Source organism: Homo sapiens, chromosome 22 (assembly GCF_000001405.40).
Source record: "Homo sapiens chromosome 22, GRCh38.p14 Primary Assembly".
NCBI classification, from domain to species: Eukaryota; Metazoa; Chordata; class Mammalia; order Primates; family Hominidae; genus Homo; species Homo sapiens.
Window position 1 is genome coordinate 18,205,936 of NC_000022.11, and position 22,405 is coordinate 18,228,340.

The window sequence follows — 22,405 nt, forward strand, 5'->3', positions numbered from 1 at the left end:
CATAAACATTCCAGGGTGAAGGCACAATCCACACTGTGAGGTCCAACTGCTGCCATGCAGACAGGTGTGCTTTCACATGTACAGGAAGGTCATCGAAGGCTCAGTGTTTCATTTCAAAAACTGAATCCCAAGTCCACACATTATTATGCTGTGCTTCTTAAAATAAGTTATGAGATAGGAAATAGGGCACCCCCAAATATATATATATATTATGTATAATATAATATATATAATATATAACATATATATAATTTCCTTTTACATCCTGCATCCTTATATATAATATCATATTTAATATAATATATAATATTATGTATAATATATATTGTTATACATAACATTATATATAATATAATATATATAATTATGTATAATTATATAATTATATATGAAATATAATAATGTATAATTATATATGTAATATAATAAAGTATAATAGATAATATATATTATATATTATACAAAATATTATATAATGTAACATGTAATATATAGTATATCATAATATAATATATTTTATAATATAATATATTATATATTATATATGATTACATTATATGATATTATATTATATATTATATAAATAATTATATATAATATAATATATAATATATAATATAATATAATTATATATAATATAATATATATAATATAATATAATATAATATAATTATATATCATATAATATAAAATATATAATATATAATATAATATAATATAATTATATATAATATATCAGATATAATATATAATATATATCAGATAAAATATATAATATATAATATATATCAGATATAATATATAATATATATCATATATTTTACATAATATATATCATTTATTATGTAATATATATCTTTTATTATATATAATATATATCATTTATTATATAATATATGATATATCATATATGATATATATCATCTATATCATATATTATTTATCATCTATATCAGGTATGATATATCATCTATGTCATATATACGATATATCATCTATATCATATATGCGATATATCGTATATATCATATATGATATACCATGTATATCATATATATGATATATCATGTATATCATATGTAGTATATAATCTATATCATATATATTGTATATAATCTATATCATATATATTGTATATAATCTATATCATATATATTGTATATAATCTATATCATATATATTGTATATAATCTATCATATATGTTGTATATAATCTGTATCATATATATTGTATATAATCTGTATCATATATATTGTATTTAATCTGTATCATATATATTGTATATAATCTCTATCATATATATTGTATATAATCTATATCATATAGTATATAATATATATCATATATTGTATATAATATATATCATACATATTGTATATAATATATATCATACTTATTGTATGTAATATATATCATACATATTGTGTATAATATATATCATACATATTATGTATGATATATATCGTATATATTATATATGATATATATCATATGTAATATATACGATATATATCATATATATTATATATGATATATATCATATTAAGTTAAGTTTGGGGATAGCCCAGAATTATATATGGATTTTCAACTGCACAGGAGCTGGTCCCCTAACCCTTGCACTGTTCAAGGATCAACAGTATGTATAATACTACAGATTTTATTCATATTTTAGAGTGTAGTACTACTACTCATTAAAAAAAATTAACTATGAAACAGCTTCAGGAAGGTCTTCCACGAGTTCTTCCAGAAGAAAGCCTTGTTATCATAGAGAATGACAGCTGCATGTATGTTATTGCCACTGAAGACCCTGAAGACCTTTCACTTGGACAAGATTTCGAGATGGAAGACAGTGATATTGATTATCCTGACCCTTACAGGACTAAGCTAGTGTGTGTGTTTGTATCTTAGTTTTTAACAAAAATGTTTAAAACATAAAAAATCAAAATAAATGAAGCTTATCAAATAAGGATATAAAGTATTTCTGTACAGCTGTTCAATGTGTTTTTGTTTTAAGATGTGTTATTATCAAAGAATCAAAAAATTAAAAAAATTAAAAGTTTATAAAGTTATGATAAGCTAAGATGAACTTGTTAAAGAAAGAAAAAATTTAAATACATTTAGTGTAGCCTAAGTGTACAGTGCATATAAAGTCTATAGTTATGTACAGTAATATCCTAGGCCTTCGCATTCACTCACCAGGTACTCACTGACTCATCAGAGCATCTGCCAGTCCTGCAACCTCTGTTCATGCTAAATGTCCTTTACTGGTGTACCACTCTCTTTAAATTTTGTAATATATATATATTTTTTTCTTTGTTTTTTTTGAGAAGGAGTTTTATTTTGTTGCCCAGGCTGGAGTTCAATGATACGATCTTGGCTCACTGCAACCTCTGCCTCCGGGGTTCAAGTGATTCTCCTGCCTCAGCCTCACGAGTAGCAGGGATTACAGCCCCACGCCAGCACGCCCAGCTAATTTTGTATTTTTAGTACAGACGGAGTTTCTCCATGTTGGTCAGGCTGGTCTCGAACTTCTAACCTCAGGTGATCCGCCCCCCTCGGTCTCCCAATGTACTGTGTTTTTACTGTATCTTTTCCATGTTTAGATATTACTACTGTGATATAACTGCCTACAGCAGTGGGCCCCAAAGTTTTGACACCAGGGACTGGTTTTGTGAAAGATAATTTTTCCACGGAGTGGGGATGGCTTTGGGCTGAAACTCTTCCACCTCAGATCATCAGGCATTAGTTAGATTCTTTTTTTCTTTTTTTTTCTTTTTTAGACTGAGTCTCCCACTGTTGCCAGGCTGGAGTGCAGTGGCACAATCTCGGCTCACTGCAACCTCTGCCTCCCGGGTTCAAGTGATTCTCCTGTCTCAGTCCCCCGAGTAGCTGGGACTACAGGCATGCGCCACCACACCCAGCTAATTTTTGTATTTTTAGTAGAGACGGGGTTTCCATGTTGGCCAGGATTGTCTTGACCTTGTGATCCACCTGCCTCGACCTCCCAGAGTGTTGGGATTACAGGCGTGAGCCACAGCACCCAGCCTAGTTAGATTCTCATAAGGAGAACATAACCTAGATCCCTTCTATGGGCAGTTCACAATAGGGTTTGTGCTCCTGTGAAGGTCTAATGCTGCTGCTGATCTGACAGGAGGCGGAGCTCAGGCAGTAATGTTCGGCTGGCCAGCCACTCATCTCCTGCTTTGTGCCCAATTCCTAACAGGACACGAACCGGTGCTGGTCCATGGCTTGGGTGTTGGGGACCATTGGCCTACTGTATTCAGCACAGTGACATGCTGCACAGGTGTGTAGCCCAGGAGCAATAGGCTGTACGATATAGCCTAGGTATGTAGTAGGCTACGCTGTCTAGGTTTGTATAAAGTACACTCTTTGGTGTCTGCACAGCCACAGAATCACCTAATGATGCATTTCTTGGAATATATTACCATTAAATGAGATTTACCTGTATTAGTGTCATCTCAGGTTTATTGTCTAGTAATTTTAAAAGTATTTGTATATTCTTTCCCAGACACATCATCATACTCTGGTGCATATCTCTATTTTATTCCCTAGACCCACTCTTAATTTTTCTGCATTCTGCTTTGTTCCTTAGGAGGCTCACCTGAATTGGATACTTCAGAGATCTCCCTTACCCTCATGCTTTTATTGGGGTTCAGCTAATGGAGGGGGTGGCAGAAGATAGGTGAGAGAAGAGTGTGTTTATCCCCCACCTCTGCCCCTGCAGGGTCAGCACAGGCAGACTGTGTCCCTTTGCTGAAGATCACAGCTTCTGTCTGGTGCCTTCTTGGCAAGCTGGCACTGTCTCTAGTCAGGTGACTGCTTGGCCCCTTACTACTTACACTCTTCTGTCTGGTTTCTTTGTGACTTTCCTGCTGTGCTGTAAGTAGTCCCTTTATTAGAATCCATCCACATTACCCAGTTATATAAAGACAAATAGTTGGTCACTGATGTAGTTCACTCCCTGAGAATCAGCCTTCATCAAAGATCCCTAACAGTCACATATTCTGTTGGCCGCTCCATTCCTGCTCCCCATTATTCTAGTTGTGTCTTCCTTGTCTCTAGTGCAGTCACAAAGCATAAGCGCCTCCACTGTCACTTGTTCTTTGCAACTCTAGGATCACATCATTCCCCTTGAAATCAGAGAATCTGCAATCTCCCCAAGCCCACAAAATTCAGCCATCACAGTACTTTTCAAGCATGCCAGCAGCCCTCCCCAACAAACGAATCCTTAATTTCTTAGAGAAACATCTTCTGGGCTTCCTGTGGGACACAGTGCGGGTCGGCTTGGCATGTGGATCACACCTGATATTTTTACCCCCACCTCCTACTATTCCTATTCCTTTGTATGCACCTCTCTTTATTATGCTAGGAAAGCTCTGGCAACACAACCTCAAAATAAGCAGGCCAGTGTGGATTCACAGTTTCTGTCAGACAAACAAACTTGAGCACCCCTTCTAACTTCTTGGGCTAAGACTTTAACTTCAGAATCTCTATGTATCTATGTTGATAAACTTAGCCTATGTCAAGATTATATTCTGCATGCCTTAGTCAAACACCATGTAAATCTATACCTCATATATTCTCTAGGCTTTAGCTGATAGGGATTAGCAAAGTAGTGTGGTTGTTTTGGTCTTTAAACAATGTCCATTTTCTACCAGCTTTCCATTGCACTCTTTTTTTTTTTTTTTTTTTTTTTGAGATGGAGTCTTGCTCTGTCGCCCAGGCTGGAGTGCAGTGGCGCGATCTCGGCTCACTGCAAGCTCTGCCTCCCGGGTTCACGCCATTCTCCTGCCTCAGCCTCCCGAGTAGCTGGGACTACAGGCGTGTGCCGCCACACATGGCTAATTTTTTGTATTTTTAGTAGAGATGGGGTCTCACTGTGTTAGCCAAGATGGTCTCGATCTCCTGACCTCGTGATCGGCCCACCTTGGCCTCCCAAAGTATTGGGATTACAGGCGTGAGCCACCACACCGGGCCGAATCCATTGCACTCTTACAGACCATGTTGACAAAATTATAACTGCAACAGTCAACTACAATAGCAATTTTACCTCTCATGTACCACTTTAAAAAACACATCATTCCCAATAACCACATTTGATGATTTAAGTAATCATGATACCACCGTACACTACAGATGATCAGGTTTCTGTCTCCTCCCGACAACAAGGTCAGGAATTCATTCAGACTGAAACAGGTCAGCAAACCACTTCCAGATTCTCATCTATAAAGATCTATTTCTAGAACCATTTCTAGTACCTATACAATATTAGAATCAAGTCAGGAAGCAGAAAACATTCTAGATATTTTAAACAGAAAACAATTCATGGAGAGATCAATTACAAGAGTATGTGTAGCAAAAGATGAAAGGGTCAGGTAACTTGATAAATCTCTGCTTCTTTTGTGTTGGGTGATAAAAATGTTGACCAGAGATCAGTGGCAGATGATCCAAGGCGTCAGCTGTCCAAGCTCAGCATCTGGAGCCGGTGCTGAGGAAATGTGCATTTCTAGGTCTGGGCGCCATTGGACCATCACTACTGTCCTTGAAGCTGCCACCGTGAGAACTCACATCTCAGCTGCTATAGCCACAGCTGATATTGTCATTGCTTCCAGAATTATTTCCCTTGCTCCATCGTGGGGATCCCGCAATACTGCTGCTGCTGAAATCACTGTTGTTGCTCCTTCCAGAACTGTCGGCACCGCAGCATTATTATCACTGCAGCTACCACTGGAGATGGCTACAGACACCAGAAACGGAAGAGCACCTCTCCCCTCCTCCGGCAGTGTGACTTTCAGTCGGCTCCTCTCGTAGCCAGATGGTATAGAAATGACACACCAATGTCCTTCAGAACATACATGCAAAATAGTTTAAATATACTAGAAATTCTATTCCCCTTAGAAAACTAAGTCCACCTACATATTTTTCAAAAATCCATCAGCAATACAGAATAAAGGCATTGGTTCTATACAGCGTTGCAAGAATATTTTAACAATAGAAGGTATTTTAATGTCATTCACCACATTAGGAGATTGAAAAAGGGAAAACACAGGATTACCTTAGCAGATGTAGGAAAAAAAATAAGATGGTAAAATACAACATTCATTTATATTAAAATCTTTATACCAAACTAGGAAAAGCAGACAAATTTCTTAACCTGATAAGCTTATCTATAACAAAACCATCGACACCACCATATGTAATGTTGAAGCATAATCGTTATTTTTTATAAAAGCTAGGAAAGGGAATGAGATGTCTGTTGACACTGCTCGTATTTATCATTGTCCTGGGGTTTCTGGCCAGTTCAGTTAAGATAGGACAAAGAAATATTATAGAAAGAGGAAGAAAAAAAGAAAACACATACGTTGTCATTGTGTGGAGTTTCTGTTTGTTTGTTTATGTGTTTTTGTGAGATGGTGTCTCACTCTGTCGCCCAGGCTGGAGTACAGTGGTGTGATCTTGGCTCACTGCAACCTCATTGTGTGGAGATTTGTAATTACCCATAGAAAATCCAAGAAAATTTGTGGATGCACTAATCAAATCAGCAAGGTTTTCAGATATGAAGGCAAAGTAAAGAGAAAATGAAATTCTTATAAACAGTAGCAACCAATTAAAAATATTATATTATAATATCACATTCATGGTAACATAAAACATTAACGTATCTAAGAATTAATTCAGAAAACACATGATCTTTCATTTAATTTTATTAAAGTTATTTCAATAAATATACCACCAGTATTTTTTTAGAACTTGATTGGAAAAGTCATATTAAAATAATCAATGGAAAGGAAGAACCAAAGTTATTCTGAACAATAATAGCCTATCAATATTTAAATGTGTTTTAATTATAATAATTAAAATGGTTTGCTTTGGCTCAGTGATACACCGTTAAACAATGGGAAAAAATGGAAGCACCAAGAAATAGATCCATAGATATGCTGAATACATTGGACTTGTAATAAAAGATATGATACTAAAAGTCAGTAGAAAAATTATACTATTCAATAAATGATGTCAGAAAAAACATATAAATTTTTATCCATATATAAATAAAAATCTGTATATTACAGCATATCACAAAATCCTGTATCTATTTAGGTTAAAGACTCAAATCTTAAACTACTTGTGAAATTACTTATGAATATTACATGTTTAAGATATTTAAAAGTATATACAGAGAACTAATGACGTTGGGCAACAAATGGCTTATTAATCAAATGCCAGAATGCATGAAGAAGAAAAGAAAAGAAAAATAAATTAGACTGTATTAAAATGAAAAATCCTAGGCATCCTAAATAAAGGTTAAATGCAAGCCAGAAAATTGGGTAAAATATTTACAAAATATATAATTGAAAAGTATAATATCCATTATATAAAGAGGATTTCTACAAATTCATGATATAAAATAAATAATATAGTAGAAAAAATGATTAAGAACTACTACACAATATTCACAACAGATGATAAATAGTGAATTATTGTGAAAAGACAATTGAAAAGAGCAAGGTACAATTCAACAGCAATAAGACTTTATGCCCTTTTCTATAAAAACACAAAACTATGCCAAGGGCTTTAGGAACCGTGAATTTATACACGGCGAAGGGGAGTTTAAATCTGCCACTTTGAAGAGTTTTTTGGAAATATATAGTAAAGTTGAAAATATATACATATGTGTATATATATATACCCACACACATACACATACACACTAGAAATTCCACAGGGTAAACCTTCTCCAAGAGAATACACACACATTTGCAGAAGAGATGTCCAAAGGTGTTTGTTGAAACATTATTGGTAATAGCTAAAAATTGGAAATAATCTTAAAGCTCATTACTAGGAAAATGGAAAAGTGAATCGTGGTATGTGCATATAATGTAAAACTATACATCAGTTAAAATTAATTGTCTGAATTTATATGGATCAATTTTTATATATTGAAACATCGTTGCATTCCAGGAATAAATCCCACTTGGTCATGGTGTATAATCCTTTTAATATGATGCTGAATTCAGTATGATAGTTTTTTTTTAGACAAAGTTTTGCTCTTGTTGCCTAGGCTGAAGTACAATGGCATGATCTCGGCTCACCACAACCTCCACCTCCCGGGTTGAAGCGATTCTCTTGTCTCAGCCTCCCGAGTAGCTGAGGTTACAGGCATGCACCACCACACATGGCTAATTTTGTATTTTTAGTAGAGACAAGAGTTTCTCTATGTTGGTCAGGCTGGTCTTGAACTCCTGACCTCAGGTGATCCACCCACCTCAGCCTCCCAAAGTGCTGGGATTACAGGCATGAGCCACCGTGCCCCACCCAGTATACTAGCATTTTTAGAGTTTTTGCATCAATGATCAGAGGCATATTGATCTGTTGTTTTATTTTCTTACAGTGTTTTTGGCTTTGGTATCAGGGTAATGCTGGCCTCATAGAAAGAGTTAAGAGGTATTCACTCCTCTTCCACTCTTTGGAAATGCTTGAAAAGAATCAGTGTTAGTTCTTCTTTAAACGTTTGGCAGAACTCACCAGTAAAGCTATCAGGTCCAGGACTTTTCTTTGTCATGAGATTGTCTTATTACTGACTCAATTCCCTTACTAGGTTAGGTCTATTCTGACTTTCTGTTTCTTTATAATTGAGTCTTGGTAGGTTTTGTGTGTCTAGGAATTCATCTATTTCATCTGGGTTATCCAATTTATGAGCACACAATTATTTATAGTAATCTTTTATAATCCTTTCTAGGCTGGGAATGGTGGGTCATGCCTGTAATCCAACAATTTGGGAGGCCGAGGTGGGAAAATTCCTTGAGGCCAGGAGTTCAAGATCAGCCTGGATAACATGGCAAGATCCTGTCTCTTAAAAAAAAAAAAAAAAAAAAGAGCTGGCATAGTGGCGAGCCCAGGAATTCAAGGCTGCAGTGAGCCGATTGTGCCACTGATTCTGGTTGCATCTGATTGTTGCCAGGGCAATAGAGCTAGACCTTGTCTCTAAAACATAGACAGGCAGACAGACAGACAGACAGACAGAAATATATAAAGATATTCTCAAATACATTTCTGTTTTAAGTAATTTAGATTGTTTCCCTTTTCCTTAGTCTTGTCAGTTTTATTAATCTTTTTGAAGAACCAACTTTTGGTTTTGTTTTTTATTGTTTTTCTATTCTCTTTTCCATTTATCTCTGCCCTGATCTCTATTGTTTCCTTCCTTCTGCTAACTTTGGGTTTAGTTTTATTCTTCTTTTTCTAGTTTCTTAATGTGTAAACTTATGTTGTTGAATTGAGGTGTTTCTTTTTTTAATGTGTTTATAGCTATAAATTTCCTCCTTAGCACTCCTTTCACCACAACTCATAAGTTGTGTTTTTTTGTTGTTTCTTTGTTTTTTGAGACAGAGTCTCATTCTGTCACCCAGGCTGGAGTGCAGTGGTGTTAGCTCAGTGGTGCAACCTCTGCCTCCTGGGTTCAAGAAATTTTCATGCCTCAGCCTCCTGGGTAGCTGGGACTACAGGCACGTACCACCACTCCCAGCTAATTTTTGTGTTTTTAGTAGAGACAGGGTTTCACCATGTTGGCCTGGCTGAAATTGAACTCCTGACCTCTAGCTATCCACCTCCCTCAGTCTCCCAAAGTGCTGGGATTACAGGTGTGAGCCACCACAACTGGCCACAGCCCATAAGTTTGGATATAGTGTGCTTTCATTTTCATTTGTCTTTAAGAATTTTATAATTTCTTTGTGATTTCTTTGATCCATTGGTTGTTTGAGAGTGTGTTGTTTAAATTCTACTAATTTGTGAACTTTTTTAAATCTTCTGTTATTGATTTCTAACTTTATCCTGTTGTGGTCAGAGAAGACACTTTGTATGATGTCTATCGTTTTAAATCTACTGAGCTTTTTTCCTTTTTTGGGACAGGGTCTCGTTCTGTCAGTGGTACAATGGTACATTTTCTTTGTCATGAAGTACAGGCTGGAGTACAGTGGTACAATCTCTGCTCACTGCAGCTTCAACCTCCTGGGCTCCTAAGCAATTCTCACGCTTCAGCCTCCCAAGAAGCTGGGATCACAGGCACGCACCACCACGCCCAGCTAATTTTTGTATTTTTAGTAGAGATGGGGTTTCACCATGTTGGCCAGGCTGATGTCAAGCTCCTGGCTTCAAGCAATCCACCCGCCTCAGCCTCCCAAATTACTCTGGGATTACAGATGTGAGCCACTGCACCCAGCCCCTATTGAGAATTAATTTGTGATGTGTTATATGGTCTATCCTGAAAATGTCCCATGTATACTTGAGAAGTATGTGTATTATGTTGTTGGGTAGAATATCCTGTGTATGTCTGTTAGGTCTAGTTGTTTTTTCAGGTGTTGTTCAAGTGCTGTATTTCCTTACTTATGTCTGGTCTGGTTGTTTTATTCATTTGTGAAATGAAGACAAGGGACAAAATCCTAAGACATCCCCCTTAAAAGGGAAGGACCACCCACAGAAAAGGACTGAGAGACCCCCAGAATCTATAGCTTAGCTAATTGATGGTCTTTCTCTCCTGAAGTTAGTAAAGAGTGGAAAAGATGACTCCTTCTTCAAACATGAAGAAAGCAATCTAAGTCTTCAAAGAACAGGAAGCATGAGAAAATATGACACCACCAAAGAAACAAAATGAAACTCCAGTGGCTGACTCCAAAGACATGAAGATCTACAAATTGCCTGACAAAGAATTCAAATAATCATCTTAGGGTGACATCAGCAAGATGGCAGAACAGGAGGCCCTCCACTCACCTCTCCCCACACAAACAATGATCTGGCAGCCATTCATGGACAAAACTGCCTTTGCAAGAGTTTTAATATCCAGGCAGGAGGTGGCAAAACTCTAGCAAAGCCCAAAACCAAGGAGAGCTGCTTTGAGAAGGCAGGTCCACACACCAGTGACAGGTTACCAGTTGCAGACTGAAAGCAGCTTTGTCCTCCTATGGACTTGGGTCCAGCTCCACTAGATCATGGTCTTGCAACTAGCCCCATCCACTAAGCACCTAGGAGGAACCATGACCATTTATGCCCCCAGTAACAGGCCTTCTAACCATGGTCCTGACTGCAGAAACTAAAGCAGCCCTGACCTGGCTTCAGCCCCACTCTACCACAGTCAGTCATGCCTGCCCAGGAATTCAGTGATGCCTTTACATACCCTTGGTAACAGGCCTGCTGATCTCAGTCTCAGCTATGGACACTAAAGTAGCCCTGTGACTCCATTCCAGTCTTGCTTTGCCACAGTCTGGGCACAGTCCAGCCCATCCTGGGACCTGGTGAAAGACATACCATCCATTCTCCTAATAAGAGGACCACCAATCTTGAACTCAAATGTGGTCACCAAAGCTGTCCTGTGACTTGGCTCTAGCCCTGCTCTACTGTGGTCTGGAGGCAGTCCTGTCTTCCCATGGACCTACCTAGTAAACCAGCAGGAGCTCAATCTGGGACCCACAGGGAGCTATACCAGTCCATGCCCTTGGTAATAGGCCTGATATCTGAAGACTTGACTGTAGAACTAGAAGTGGCCCCATGACCTGGCTCCAGTCCTGTTCAATCAGGGTATCAGAGGCAGTCCAGTTCTCCTGAGGATCCAGCAGAAACTGCATCACCAACCTATGCCTTGATAGCGGCCTGCCAATCAGAGATTCAGCTGCAGACCAGGCAGCAGCCATGTAATATGGCTCCAGGCCCACTTGACTGTGATCCAGTCAAGGGATCCAGCAGGAAAAGGTTTGTACCTGCTGAAACCAATCTATAAAGACAGAAAGAGATTGGGCATGGTGGCTCACACCTGTAATCCCAGCACTTTGGGAGGCCAAGGCGGGCAGACCACTTGAGGCCAGGAGTTTGAGACCAGCCTGGACAACACGGTGAAACTCTGTCTCTACAAAAAATACAAAAAAATTAGCCAGGCGTGGTGGCACATGCCTGTGATCCCAGCTGCTTGGGAGGCTGAGGCAGGAGAATCATTTGAACCTGGGAGGTGGAGGTTACAGTGAGCTGAGATCACACCACTGCACTCCAGCTGGGTGACAGAGCAAGACTCTGTCTCAAAAAAAAAAAAAAAAAAAAAAAAAGAAGAGGTATTTGCTTCTTCATAGACATTAATGAAAGTCTGTAGATCATGAAGAATCAGCAAATATGACACTACCAAAATAAACTCATAAATCTCCAGTAATCAACCCCCCAAAAATAGAGATCTACAAATTGCCTGACAATTCAAAATAATTAAGATAGCTCAGTGAAATTTACTAGAATGTATATATCAACTCAATAATATCAAGAAAATAGTAGATGAGCAAAGCTAAAAGTTCAATAAAGATACAGAAATAATAAGAACCAAACAGAAATTCTAGAACTGAAGAATACAATGAATAAAATGAAAATGCAAGCTGGGTGCCGTGGCGGACGCCTGTAATCCCAGCACTTTGGGAGGCCGAGGCAGGCGGATCACTTGAGGTCAAGAGTTCAAGACCAGCCTGGCCAACATGCCAAAACCCCATCTGTATTAAAAATACAAAAATTAGCCAGGCATGGTGGCATATGCCTGTAATCCTAGCTACTAGGGAGGCTGAGGCAGGAGAATCGCTTGAACCGGGAGGTGGAAGTTGGAGTAAGCCAAGATGGCACCACTGCATTCAAGCCTGGGTGACACAGACTCTGTCTCAAAAATATATAAAAATAAATAAATGAATGAAATGAAAATGCAATAGAGAATTTCAATTGCAGACTTGATCAAACAGAAGAAAGAATCTGTGAAATTAAAGACAGGACATTTGAAATATCCCGTCAGAAGACCAGAAAGAAAAAAAAGTTTATAAGTAAAAACCTTTGGGATTTATAGGACACCACCATGAAGTGGGTCAAACATATTATGGACTTCCTAGAAGTAAAAAAGATAGAAAAGGCCTGAAAGTATATTTGAAGACATAATGGGTAAAAACTTTCCAAATTCTTAGAGGCAAGTGGGCTTCCAGACACATGAAGTTCAGAGGCCCCAAAAAAGGCCAGCCCAAAGACCATAATACCAAGATGTATTATAATTAAAATATCAAAAGTCAAAGACAGAGACTTTCAAAAGCAGCAAGAAGAAAGGAATTCATCACATACAAGGAAACTTCAATAAGGCTATCAGTGGATTTCTCAGCAGAAACCTTATAAGCCAGGAGAGAATAGGATGCTATATTCAATGTATTGGAAGAAAAAAACTGCCAATCAGGAAGACCACAACTTGTAAAGCTGTCCTTCAGAAATGAAAAAGAGATGATAAGGTCTTTCCCAGACTCCCACCAAAAAAATTCTAAGGGAGTTCATCACCACTGCACCTGCCTTATAAGGCAGTTTTTCAAGTTGAAATAAAAGGATTCTGATTAGCAACATTAAAACATTAAGATATTAAGTTCACAGGTAGGCCGGGCGCAGTGGCTCACGCCTGTAATCCCAGCACTTTGGGAGGCCAAGGCGGGTGGATCACAAGGTCAGAAGAGGGGGATCATGCTGGCTAACACGGTGAAACCCCGTCTCTACTAAAAATACAAAAAATTAGCCAGGCGTGGTGGCGGGTGCCTGTAGTCCCAGCTACTCGGGAGGCCGAGGCAGGAGAATGACTTGAACCCGGGAGGCAGAGCTTGCAGTGAGCCGAGATCATGGACACTGCCCTCCAGCCTGGGCGACAGAGCGAGACTCTGTCTCAAAAAAAAAAGTTCACAGGGAAAGGTAAGTATATAGTCACATTCATAACACTGTAATATTGCAGTGGTGGTGTGTAAATCACTTTTCACTGTAGTATAAAAGTTAAAATGTAAAAGTATTAGGCGGCCCGGGCGCGGGGCAGCTGCTGCGGGGAGGCGGGGAGGCGGGGGGCCTGGCCGGACACCCCTGCGCCCCCTCCCCGCACCCGGGCGGAGGGCGGCCTCTTCCCCCTCCCCCTCCCCCACCACCCCCGGCAGCCGCCTCCCCCAGGACGCAGGAGGCGGGCGGAGGCCGGGTCCGCCCAGCTGGCGACTTGCGGCATGGGCCGGGTCGAGGTGGGGGGGCGGTTTCGGGGGCTGGGAAGCTGGGGTGCCGGGGACAGGAGGGTGGGGGAGCTGGGGAAAGGAGGGCTGGGGGGCCGGGGACAGGAGGGCCATGCAGGCAGTGGCAAGCGGGCGGCGAGGGCTCCGTGGGGCAGGTGGACGGGGATCAGCGCCTGGGGCTGCTCCGTTCCCCAGGCGGGTGTCGTGGCTCTGGCCTCCATGCAACTCCAGGTCTGCGCGCCCCGCGCTGCTGGAGCCCCAGTCAAAAGTCTATTTAAAAAGCAGAGAGAGGATGCTTCCCTCTGAGTGGAGCGATGAAGACCTGATCCCTGGGCCATTTGGGAACACTAGCTGCCTTTCATCACAGTCAACCTGGACTCAGAGAATGTCAAGAGCTTGTTGGTTGGGTCAAGAATGAATCTAGGCATGACGTCATAGTTTATAGTCATCCTTTTAAACCTGCAAAGAAGCATTTGCAGGTTTAAAGTTATTTCACGGGTACTGCTTGCCAATCTTTGGAGGATGTGAAGCCTGCAGAGAAATAAAGTGTCGCCCCTCTGCGCGTCGCTCCCCATCTGCTAGAATGTTTCTCATGAATGCTCCTCCAGTGGTTGCTCTCCAGCCCAAATGGGAGGCCTCTGTCCCACCAGGGAGCTTTAGGTTCCCCGGGTGCTTCTCGGAGGCTGACAAGGGCGTGGAGAGCATGTCGGTGAGCACCCGGGTGCAGATGCTCATCAGCACGCTGCAGAGCGACAGGGCTGCTAGGGGCACCAGCGATGAGCGCACTGCGCAGAGGGGGCAGAGGGATGCCACGACGCCAGGCCTGCTGCCAAGCCCACCATGCACAAGGAGCTGCCTGCGTTGGCTGCCTGTGGTCTTGTTGCTGACTTTGACCCCGTGGGGGAGGAGGAAACTGCAGACTTTGGCCCATTGGTGCTAGATTCAGACAGTGACGATTCCGTGGACCGGGACATTGAGGAGGCCATCCAGGAGTACCTGAAGGTAAAGAGTGGAGCCGCACAGCCCGGGGCCAGCGGGGCCCAGCCATGCACAGCCTTCCAGGGCTGCGGGCGGAGGCAGTAGATGTAAGCGGGAACTGGCTCACAGCAGTGCCCAACTGCCCTGTGTTCCCCAAAACTTGTACCTGGCTCAGGTGGTGTGGCCCTGGCAGCCAGGTGGGATCCAGCAAGGACCAGGGCTCTGCCTCCCCAGTCAGCATGAGCAGAGCAGACTCCTTTGAGCAGAGCATCAGGGCAGAAATAGAACAGTTTCTGAATGAGAAAAGACAGCATGAGACCCAAAAATGTGATGGGTCAGTGGAGAAGAAACCAGACACACATGAAAATTCGGCGAAGTCACTCTCGAAATCCCACCAAGAGCCGGCTACAAAGGTGGTGCACCGGCAGGGCCTGATGGGCGTCCAGAAGGAGTTCGCCTTCTGCAGACCTCCCCCGGTTAGCAAAGACAAACGTGCAGCCCAGAAGCCTCAGGTCCAAGGTCACGACCACGACCACGCAGGAGAAGGAGGGCAGCACAAAGCCAGCAACCCCCACCGCCCTTCAGAAGCAGTACAGAATAAAAGTGGGATTAAAAGGAGCGCCAGCACCGCAAGGAGGGGAAAGCGAGTCACGAGCGCCGTACAGGCTCCCGAGGCGTCCGACTCCAGCAGCGACGACGGCATTGAGGAGGCCATCCAGCTGTACCAGGTGCAGAAAACACACAAGGAGGCCGACGGGGACCCGCCCCAGAGGGTCCAGCTCCAAGAGGAAAGAGCACCTGCCCCTCCCGCACACAGCACAAGCAGCGCCACAAAAAGTGCCTTGCCAGAGACCCACAGGAAAACACCCAGCAAGAAGAAGCCAGTGCCCACCAAGACCACGGACCCTGGTCCAGGGGATCTGGACGCTGACCATTCCCCCAAGATCCCAAAGGAAACCAAAGCTCCACCTCCAACGAGCCCGGCTTCCAGGAGCAAGTTTGTGGAATGGTCCTCTTGCCAGGCAGACACCTCCGCTGAGCTGATGTGTGTAGAAGCAGTCCTGGACATTTTCAAGACGATCCTGCCGGCCCTATGGAGGGCAGCGATGGGTCCCTGTCCGCAAGCCCACTCTTCTACTCCCCCAACGTGCCTTCCCGCTCTGATGGTGACAGTAGCTCCGTGGACAGCGACGACAGCATTGAGCAGGAAATCTGGACGTTTTTGGCCCTCAAGGTGCAGTCTAGAAGTTTGCTGGCCAGAGGTGAGAGCTGCCCTCAGGCTGCCCAGGGCCCACTTTCACCACCTGGCCTCAGCAGCCAGACCGGCAGCCCCAAGGCCCCTCTCTCTAAAACACTGGACCCACTCCTGGCTGCAAAAGGAAGCATAGAGGCGGCTGCCAAGTGAGGCCATCCACTCCCAAGAACATGCGGGTGGTGGGGAAAGAGGGTGGCCAGGATGCCGACCGCAGCCAGGGGAGAGCCGGGCCCGGCCATGAGGGGCGGGACCTTTCCATCCAGGGCACAGCCAGCGAGGCCCCGGGAGGAGAGGGCGCCGCTAGGGTGCCCGGTGACACTCGCACGTCACAGGGCCAGGGTAAGACAGACGAGGCAAGGCACCTAGACAAGAAGAAGAGCTCCGAAGACAAAAGCAGTTCCCTGGACAGTGACAAGGACCTGGACACAGCCATCAAGGACTTGTTAAGGTCCAAGTGAAAGCTCAAGAAGAGGTCCAGGGAGCCCAGGGCTGTGTGCAGGAAGAAGGTCAGGTTCAGCACCTCCCAGACGCACTTCCAGGAGCAGCTGGGCAGGCTCCTGAGAGAGTGGAAAAACAGGCACCTGCAGGTGCTGAAGAGCTGCCTAAGTCCAAGAGAGACAGCTGCGAGGGCTCCAGGAAGAAACCCCCCAGTGTCTTTGGCAGCAGGGCCGAGAGGACGAAGCCTCGGCCTTCCTGGTGAGGAGACCCGCTTCTGCCTCCGCCTCCGAAGAGAATCTATTCCCCAGAGAGTCCCAGGGCCCAGCTCCCAGCCCTGGCTCCTTGTCTGACAACAGCAGTTCAGTGGACAGCGACGATAGCATCGAACTGGAGATTAGGAAGTTTTTGGTGGAAAAGGCCAAGGAGTCGGTGAGCAGTTCAGAAGTTCAGGCAGAGGGCCCCACCGCTCTCGGGACAGGGGGCCCAGCCAGGCCAGAGGTACCTTGCAGGAAGGAGCCGGCCCCACTGCCTGGCATGTGCACACGGAGCCAGAGGGCCGGGGGGTCCCACATTTGGCTAAAGGGCATCGAGGCGCAGGGAGCGCAGGAGCACAGGGCGCAGCGTGCCTGCTCAGCCAGGGTGGGAAGGGGCTCCCCACTGATCCGGCGGAGGGGATCATGCGCCACCCAGGAGGACCAGCGGCAGTGTCTCCGCCAAGGTCTCTCAGTGAGCAAGAGAAATGTTTACATTTACAAAGACCAGAGCCCACGAGGGGCTGAGCCTGCTGCCAAAAGTGCTTTTGGTCAGCGGCCCAGCTGTGCCACAGCGGGCACCGAGGCAGGAGGAGCCAGGGGGACCTTTCACGTGGACTGCAGGAACCGGAGCTTCCTGACCCCCAGCCCGGGAGCTGAGAGGGATGCTGGGGCCCAGGCCAACCGCGCCCCGCCCTGGAGTGACTTTGCCCACCACAGTCGGCTGCCCAGCCCATGGGCACTGCGCTCCAAAGGTAGAGATGCGGCGTGGAGGGGGCGGCATTGGGAGAGAGAGACAAGGGGTCCGAGGGCCCCGCCCGGGGCCTGCCCAGCCTGCCCCTTGCGGGCTTCTCCCCGCTGCTGTCCACCCAGCTCTTCCACTTTGGAAAGGGTGTCTCCTGGGGGGGCAGGGAGACCGGCCTCTTCAGCCCCTACCTGGGGCTGCCTCTGCAGGGCCTGTCCTTCTCGGCCTTCAGGGAGTCCCAGGCCAGGCCCAGCCCTGTCTTTGGAAGCCCACACTTGCTGGCGAAGAAGGACTGCGATCACCGGCCAAGCAGGAAGGTACAGACGGGGCTGAGTTTGCACAACAGGAAGAGCTCTGGCTCGGAGGAAAGGATTTTAGACCTGAGGTATCCACGAAGGGTCAATCAGTAGAGTTGACCAGGACCAGGACACCTTGGGCAGGGACACCAGTGATTTCAGCAACACCTCCGCAGAGGTGTTGCTGCTGCAGTGGTGGCAGCTCAGTAGTGAAGGTATAAGACCTCGAGCTGTGGGTTCGCGTCCTGGGTTCCATGCATTCGTGGAAAGCGGCATAGCCGACGTGTATCTGTGCCTGTGTGTGATGGTTCTGTGGTTGCAGGGAGGGGAAACAGTCTGTTATACATAGTCTTGTATATATGTATACCAACACGAAACAATGCTTTTATTTAACAGATGTGTCCTGGTAAATATGATTTTTGTAGATTTTGTACATTATTTAAAGTGATGAAAAATGTTTTTGGAAAATACTGTTGGTCAATTTTGTAGGGTGTTCCTTAACTGCAGTTTTCTGTGTTCTGCATACAAGTCTTAGATTAGAAAACATTTGGTTTTTATCATCACAACCAGGTTTACAGGGACTCTGATGTTTTTTGGTTGGTTGCTGGTGAGAATGGCCAGCGCTGGCTGCAGGGGTAGCCTTAGGAAGGCCGAGGTGCCCTCCCCAGGAATCGCTCACATGCCCCAAAGTGTCCGTCAGGAAGTTCCTGGGACAGCACTTTTTATACAGAGGACACCCCCCCACCACCGCCTGGCTTCATGGTCCTTGGAGGCCAGAGCACATCTGAAAACTACAGGAACGGAAAACCAAACTCCGCATGTTCTCACTCATAAGTGGGAGTTGAACAATGAGAACACTTGGACACAGGGCAGGGAATATCACACACTGAGGCCTGTTGGGGGATGGGGGCAAGGGGAGAGATAGTATTAGGAGAAGTACCTAATGTAAATGATGGGTTGATGGGTGCAGCAAACCACCATGGCACATGTATACCTAAGTAATAAACCTGCACTTTCTGCACGGCTACCCCAGAACTTAAAGTATAATTAAAAAAAAAAAAAACAGAAAAAATAAGTAGAGATTAAACCAGTAATGAAAAATCTCCCAACAAAGAAAATCCCAGGACCAAATGGTTTTACTGGTCAATTTCAACAAACATTTAAAGAATTAATAACAATCCTTCTCAAACTCTTCCAAAAAAATTGAAGAAAAGGGAACACGTTGAAACTCATTCTAAGAGGCCAGCATTATCCTGATATCAATGCCAGATAAGAACACTACAAAATAAGAAAACTATAGGTCAATATCCCTGGTTAACATAGATGCAAAAATCCTCAATGAAATACTAGTAAACCAAATTCAACAGTGCATTAAAAGAATTATTCACCATGAATCCAGTCTCTACCAAAAATCCAAAAAAAAAAAAAATTAGCTGAGCATGCTGGCGGGTGCCTGTGGTCCCAGCTACTAGGGAGGCTGAGGCAGGAGAATGGCGTGAACTTGGGAGGCGGAGCTTGTAGTGAGCCGAGATCGCGCCACTGCACTCAGGCCTGGATGACAGAGCGAGACTCCATCTCAAAAAAATAAATAAATAATAAATAAATAAAAAACAAAAAAAGAATTATTTACCAGGATCAAGTGGGATTTATCTCTGGCATGCAAGGATGCTTTAACATACAAGAGTCACTAAATGTGATACACCACATCAACACAATAAACGATAAAAATCCTTTATTTTTATTATTAAAAAGCACTTGATAAAATTCAACATCCTTTCATGATTAAAAAAAACAACAAACTGAGCAAATTAGGCGCAGAAGGAATGTACCTCAACATAATGAAGACCACATGTAACATACTCAACAGTGAAAGACTGAACGTTTTTCCTCGAAGATGAAGAACAAGACAAGAATTCCTACTCTCACCATTTCTCCTCAAAATAGGACTGGAAGTCCTAGCCAGAACAATTAAGCAAGTAAAGAAATAAGAATGGAAGTAAAATGGTCTCCATAGATGACATATTTTTATGTATAGAAAACTGTAAAGACTTCACTAAAAGACTGTTAGAAGTAATAAATTCAATAAAGTAGCAAGATACAGAGTCAACATCCAAAAATCAGTTGCATTTCTATGCATAGATGGACTGGAGGACATTATGTTAAGTAAAATAAGCCAGACACAGAAAGTGAAATATTGTACAATCTCACTTATGTGTGGAACCTAAAGACGTCAAACTCAGAAGAAGAGAACAGAATGGTGGTTGCTGGGAGCTGGGGAAGAGAAGGAAATGGGAAGTTGATGGTTAAAGTGTACAAATTTCAGTTATGCAAGATAAGTAAGTTCTGGAGAGCTATACAGCATAGTACCCACAGAAAATGATACTATATTCTTAAATTGTTTAATTAAAAACTTTTATTATTATTATTTTTTTTTAGACAGAGTTTCACTCTTGTTGCTAAGGCTGGAGTGCAATGGTGCTGTCTCGGCTCACTGCAACCTCCGCCTCCCAGGTTCAAGAGATTCTCCCACCTCAGCCTCCCAGTACTTTGCTCAGATTATAGGTACCCGCCACCACGCCCAGCTAATTTTTGTATTTATAGTAGAGATGGGGTTTTGCCATCTTAGCCAGGCTGCTCTCCAACTCCTGATCTCAGGTGATCTGCCTGCCTCAGCCTCCCAAAGTGCTGGGATTACAGGCGTGAGCCACCGCACCTGGCCATTAAAAACATTTTTTTATACAATAATAATAATAAAGAGGCAGAAGGAAATTTTAAAAGGTGATGGATATGTTTATAGGCTTGATGATAATGGTTTTATGGTGTAAATTTATCAAGATGTGTACGTTAAATATGTACAGTTTTTATGTAAATCATTCCTCAACAAAATGGTTTAAAAAGTAATAAAGTAATTACTGATAAGGGGGGACTTACTTCTGGCATTTTGCTATACATTTTCTATATGCCTTACAGCATTTTTGTCCATTTCCTGCATGATCTCATTTGTATTTAGTTGATTTTTTGTAGCGAAGTGTTTTAATTCCCTTCTCATTTACTTTTTTATGTTATATAATGTTTTATTTGTGGTTACCATAGGGATTACACTTAACATTCTAAAGTTATAGCACTCTAACTTGAATTCATACCAGCTATATTTCAATAATATGCAAAAACTCTCCTCACAGTTTTGCCACTCCTCTTTCAGTTATCAATGTCACAAAATTACATTTTTGTACATTGTGTGTCCATAAACATAAACTAATAATTGTTTTTAATGCATTTGTCTATTAAATTATGTAGAAAGCAAAACATGGAGTTTTAAACCAAAGTTACGATAATACTAGATTTAATATTTTCCCATATATTTACTTTTACTGGCATCTTTATTTCTTCATATGGCTTTGAGTTACTATCTAGTGTTCTTTCTTTTCAACCTGCATGATTCTCTTTAAGATTTCTTGCAGGGCAGGTCTAATGGTAGCAAACTTCTCAACTTTGGTTTATTTGGGGATTTCCCAATTTCTTCCTCACTTTTGAAGGACAGTTTTGCTGGATATAGGATTCTTGGTTGAGAGGTAGTGGTTGTTTTTCTTTTAGCCCTTTACATATGTCATCCCATTGTCTTCTGTTCTCCAAAGTGTCTGATGAGAAATCTACTTATAATCCTATTATATATTCCTAGCATGTGACTAGTTGCTTCTCTCTTGGTGCTTTCAAGAGGCCCTACTGGCTAATTATAATGTCTCAGTATGAGTCTTTTTTTTTTCATCCTACTTGGAGTCCATTGAGTTTTCTGGATATTTATTTTCATGTCTTTCATCAAATTTGGGAAGTGTTCAGCTTTTTTTTTTTCTTTTTTGAGACAGAGTCTCGCTCTGTTGCCCAGGCTAGAGTACAGTGGTGTGATCTTGGCTCACTGCAACCTCTGCCTCCTGGATTCAAGCGATTCTTCTGCCTCAGCCTCCTGAGTAGCTGGGACTACAGGTACGTGCCACCACGCCCAGCTAATTTTTTTTTTTTTAAACGGAGTTTCACTCTTGTTGCCCAGGCTGGAGGGCAATGGCACAATCTCGGCTCACTGCAACATCTGCCTCCTGGGTTCAAGCGATTCTCTTGCCTCATCCTCCCAAGTAGCTGGGATTACAGGCATGCACCACCACACCTGGCTAATTTTGTGTTTTTAGTAGAGACGGGGTTTCACCATATTGGCCAGGCTGGTCTCGAACTCCTAACCTTGTGATCCACCCACCTTGGCCTCCCAAAGTGCTGGGATTACAGGTGTGAGTCACCGTGTTCAGCCTCAGCCATTATTTCTTCAAATGATCTCTCTGCCCCTTTCCCTCTCTTCTTTTGGGACTTCCACAATGTCTGCTTGCTATTCAACAATCGTCTTTATTTCTGT

At 42.8% G+C, this 22,405-nt stretch overlaps 1 long non-coding RNA gene and 1 pseudogene across 1 annotated transcript; both read left to right on the top strand.

The window, feature by feature from the left end:
* The first annotated feature begins 3,219 nt into the window (after nucleotides 1-3,219).
* LOC105372858 (uncharacterized) lies at nucleotides 3,220-5,989 on the top strand. The gene is made up of 2 exons (XR_001755425.1): nucleotides 3,220-3,305; nucleotides 5,710-5,989. It is a non-coding gene; the product is annotated as an uncharacterized LOC105372858 (long non-coding RNA).
* An 8,637-nt stretch (nucleotides 5,990-14,626) lies between these two features.
* On the top strand, nucleotides 14,627-18,227 carry LOC101060852 (protein phosphatase 1 regulatory subunit 26-like; annotated as a pseudogene).
* The last annotated feature ends 4,178 nt before the right edge of the window (nucleotides 18,228-22,405 follow it).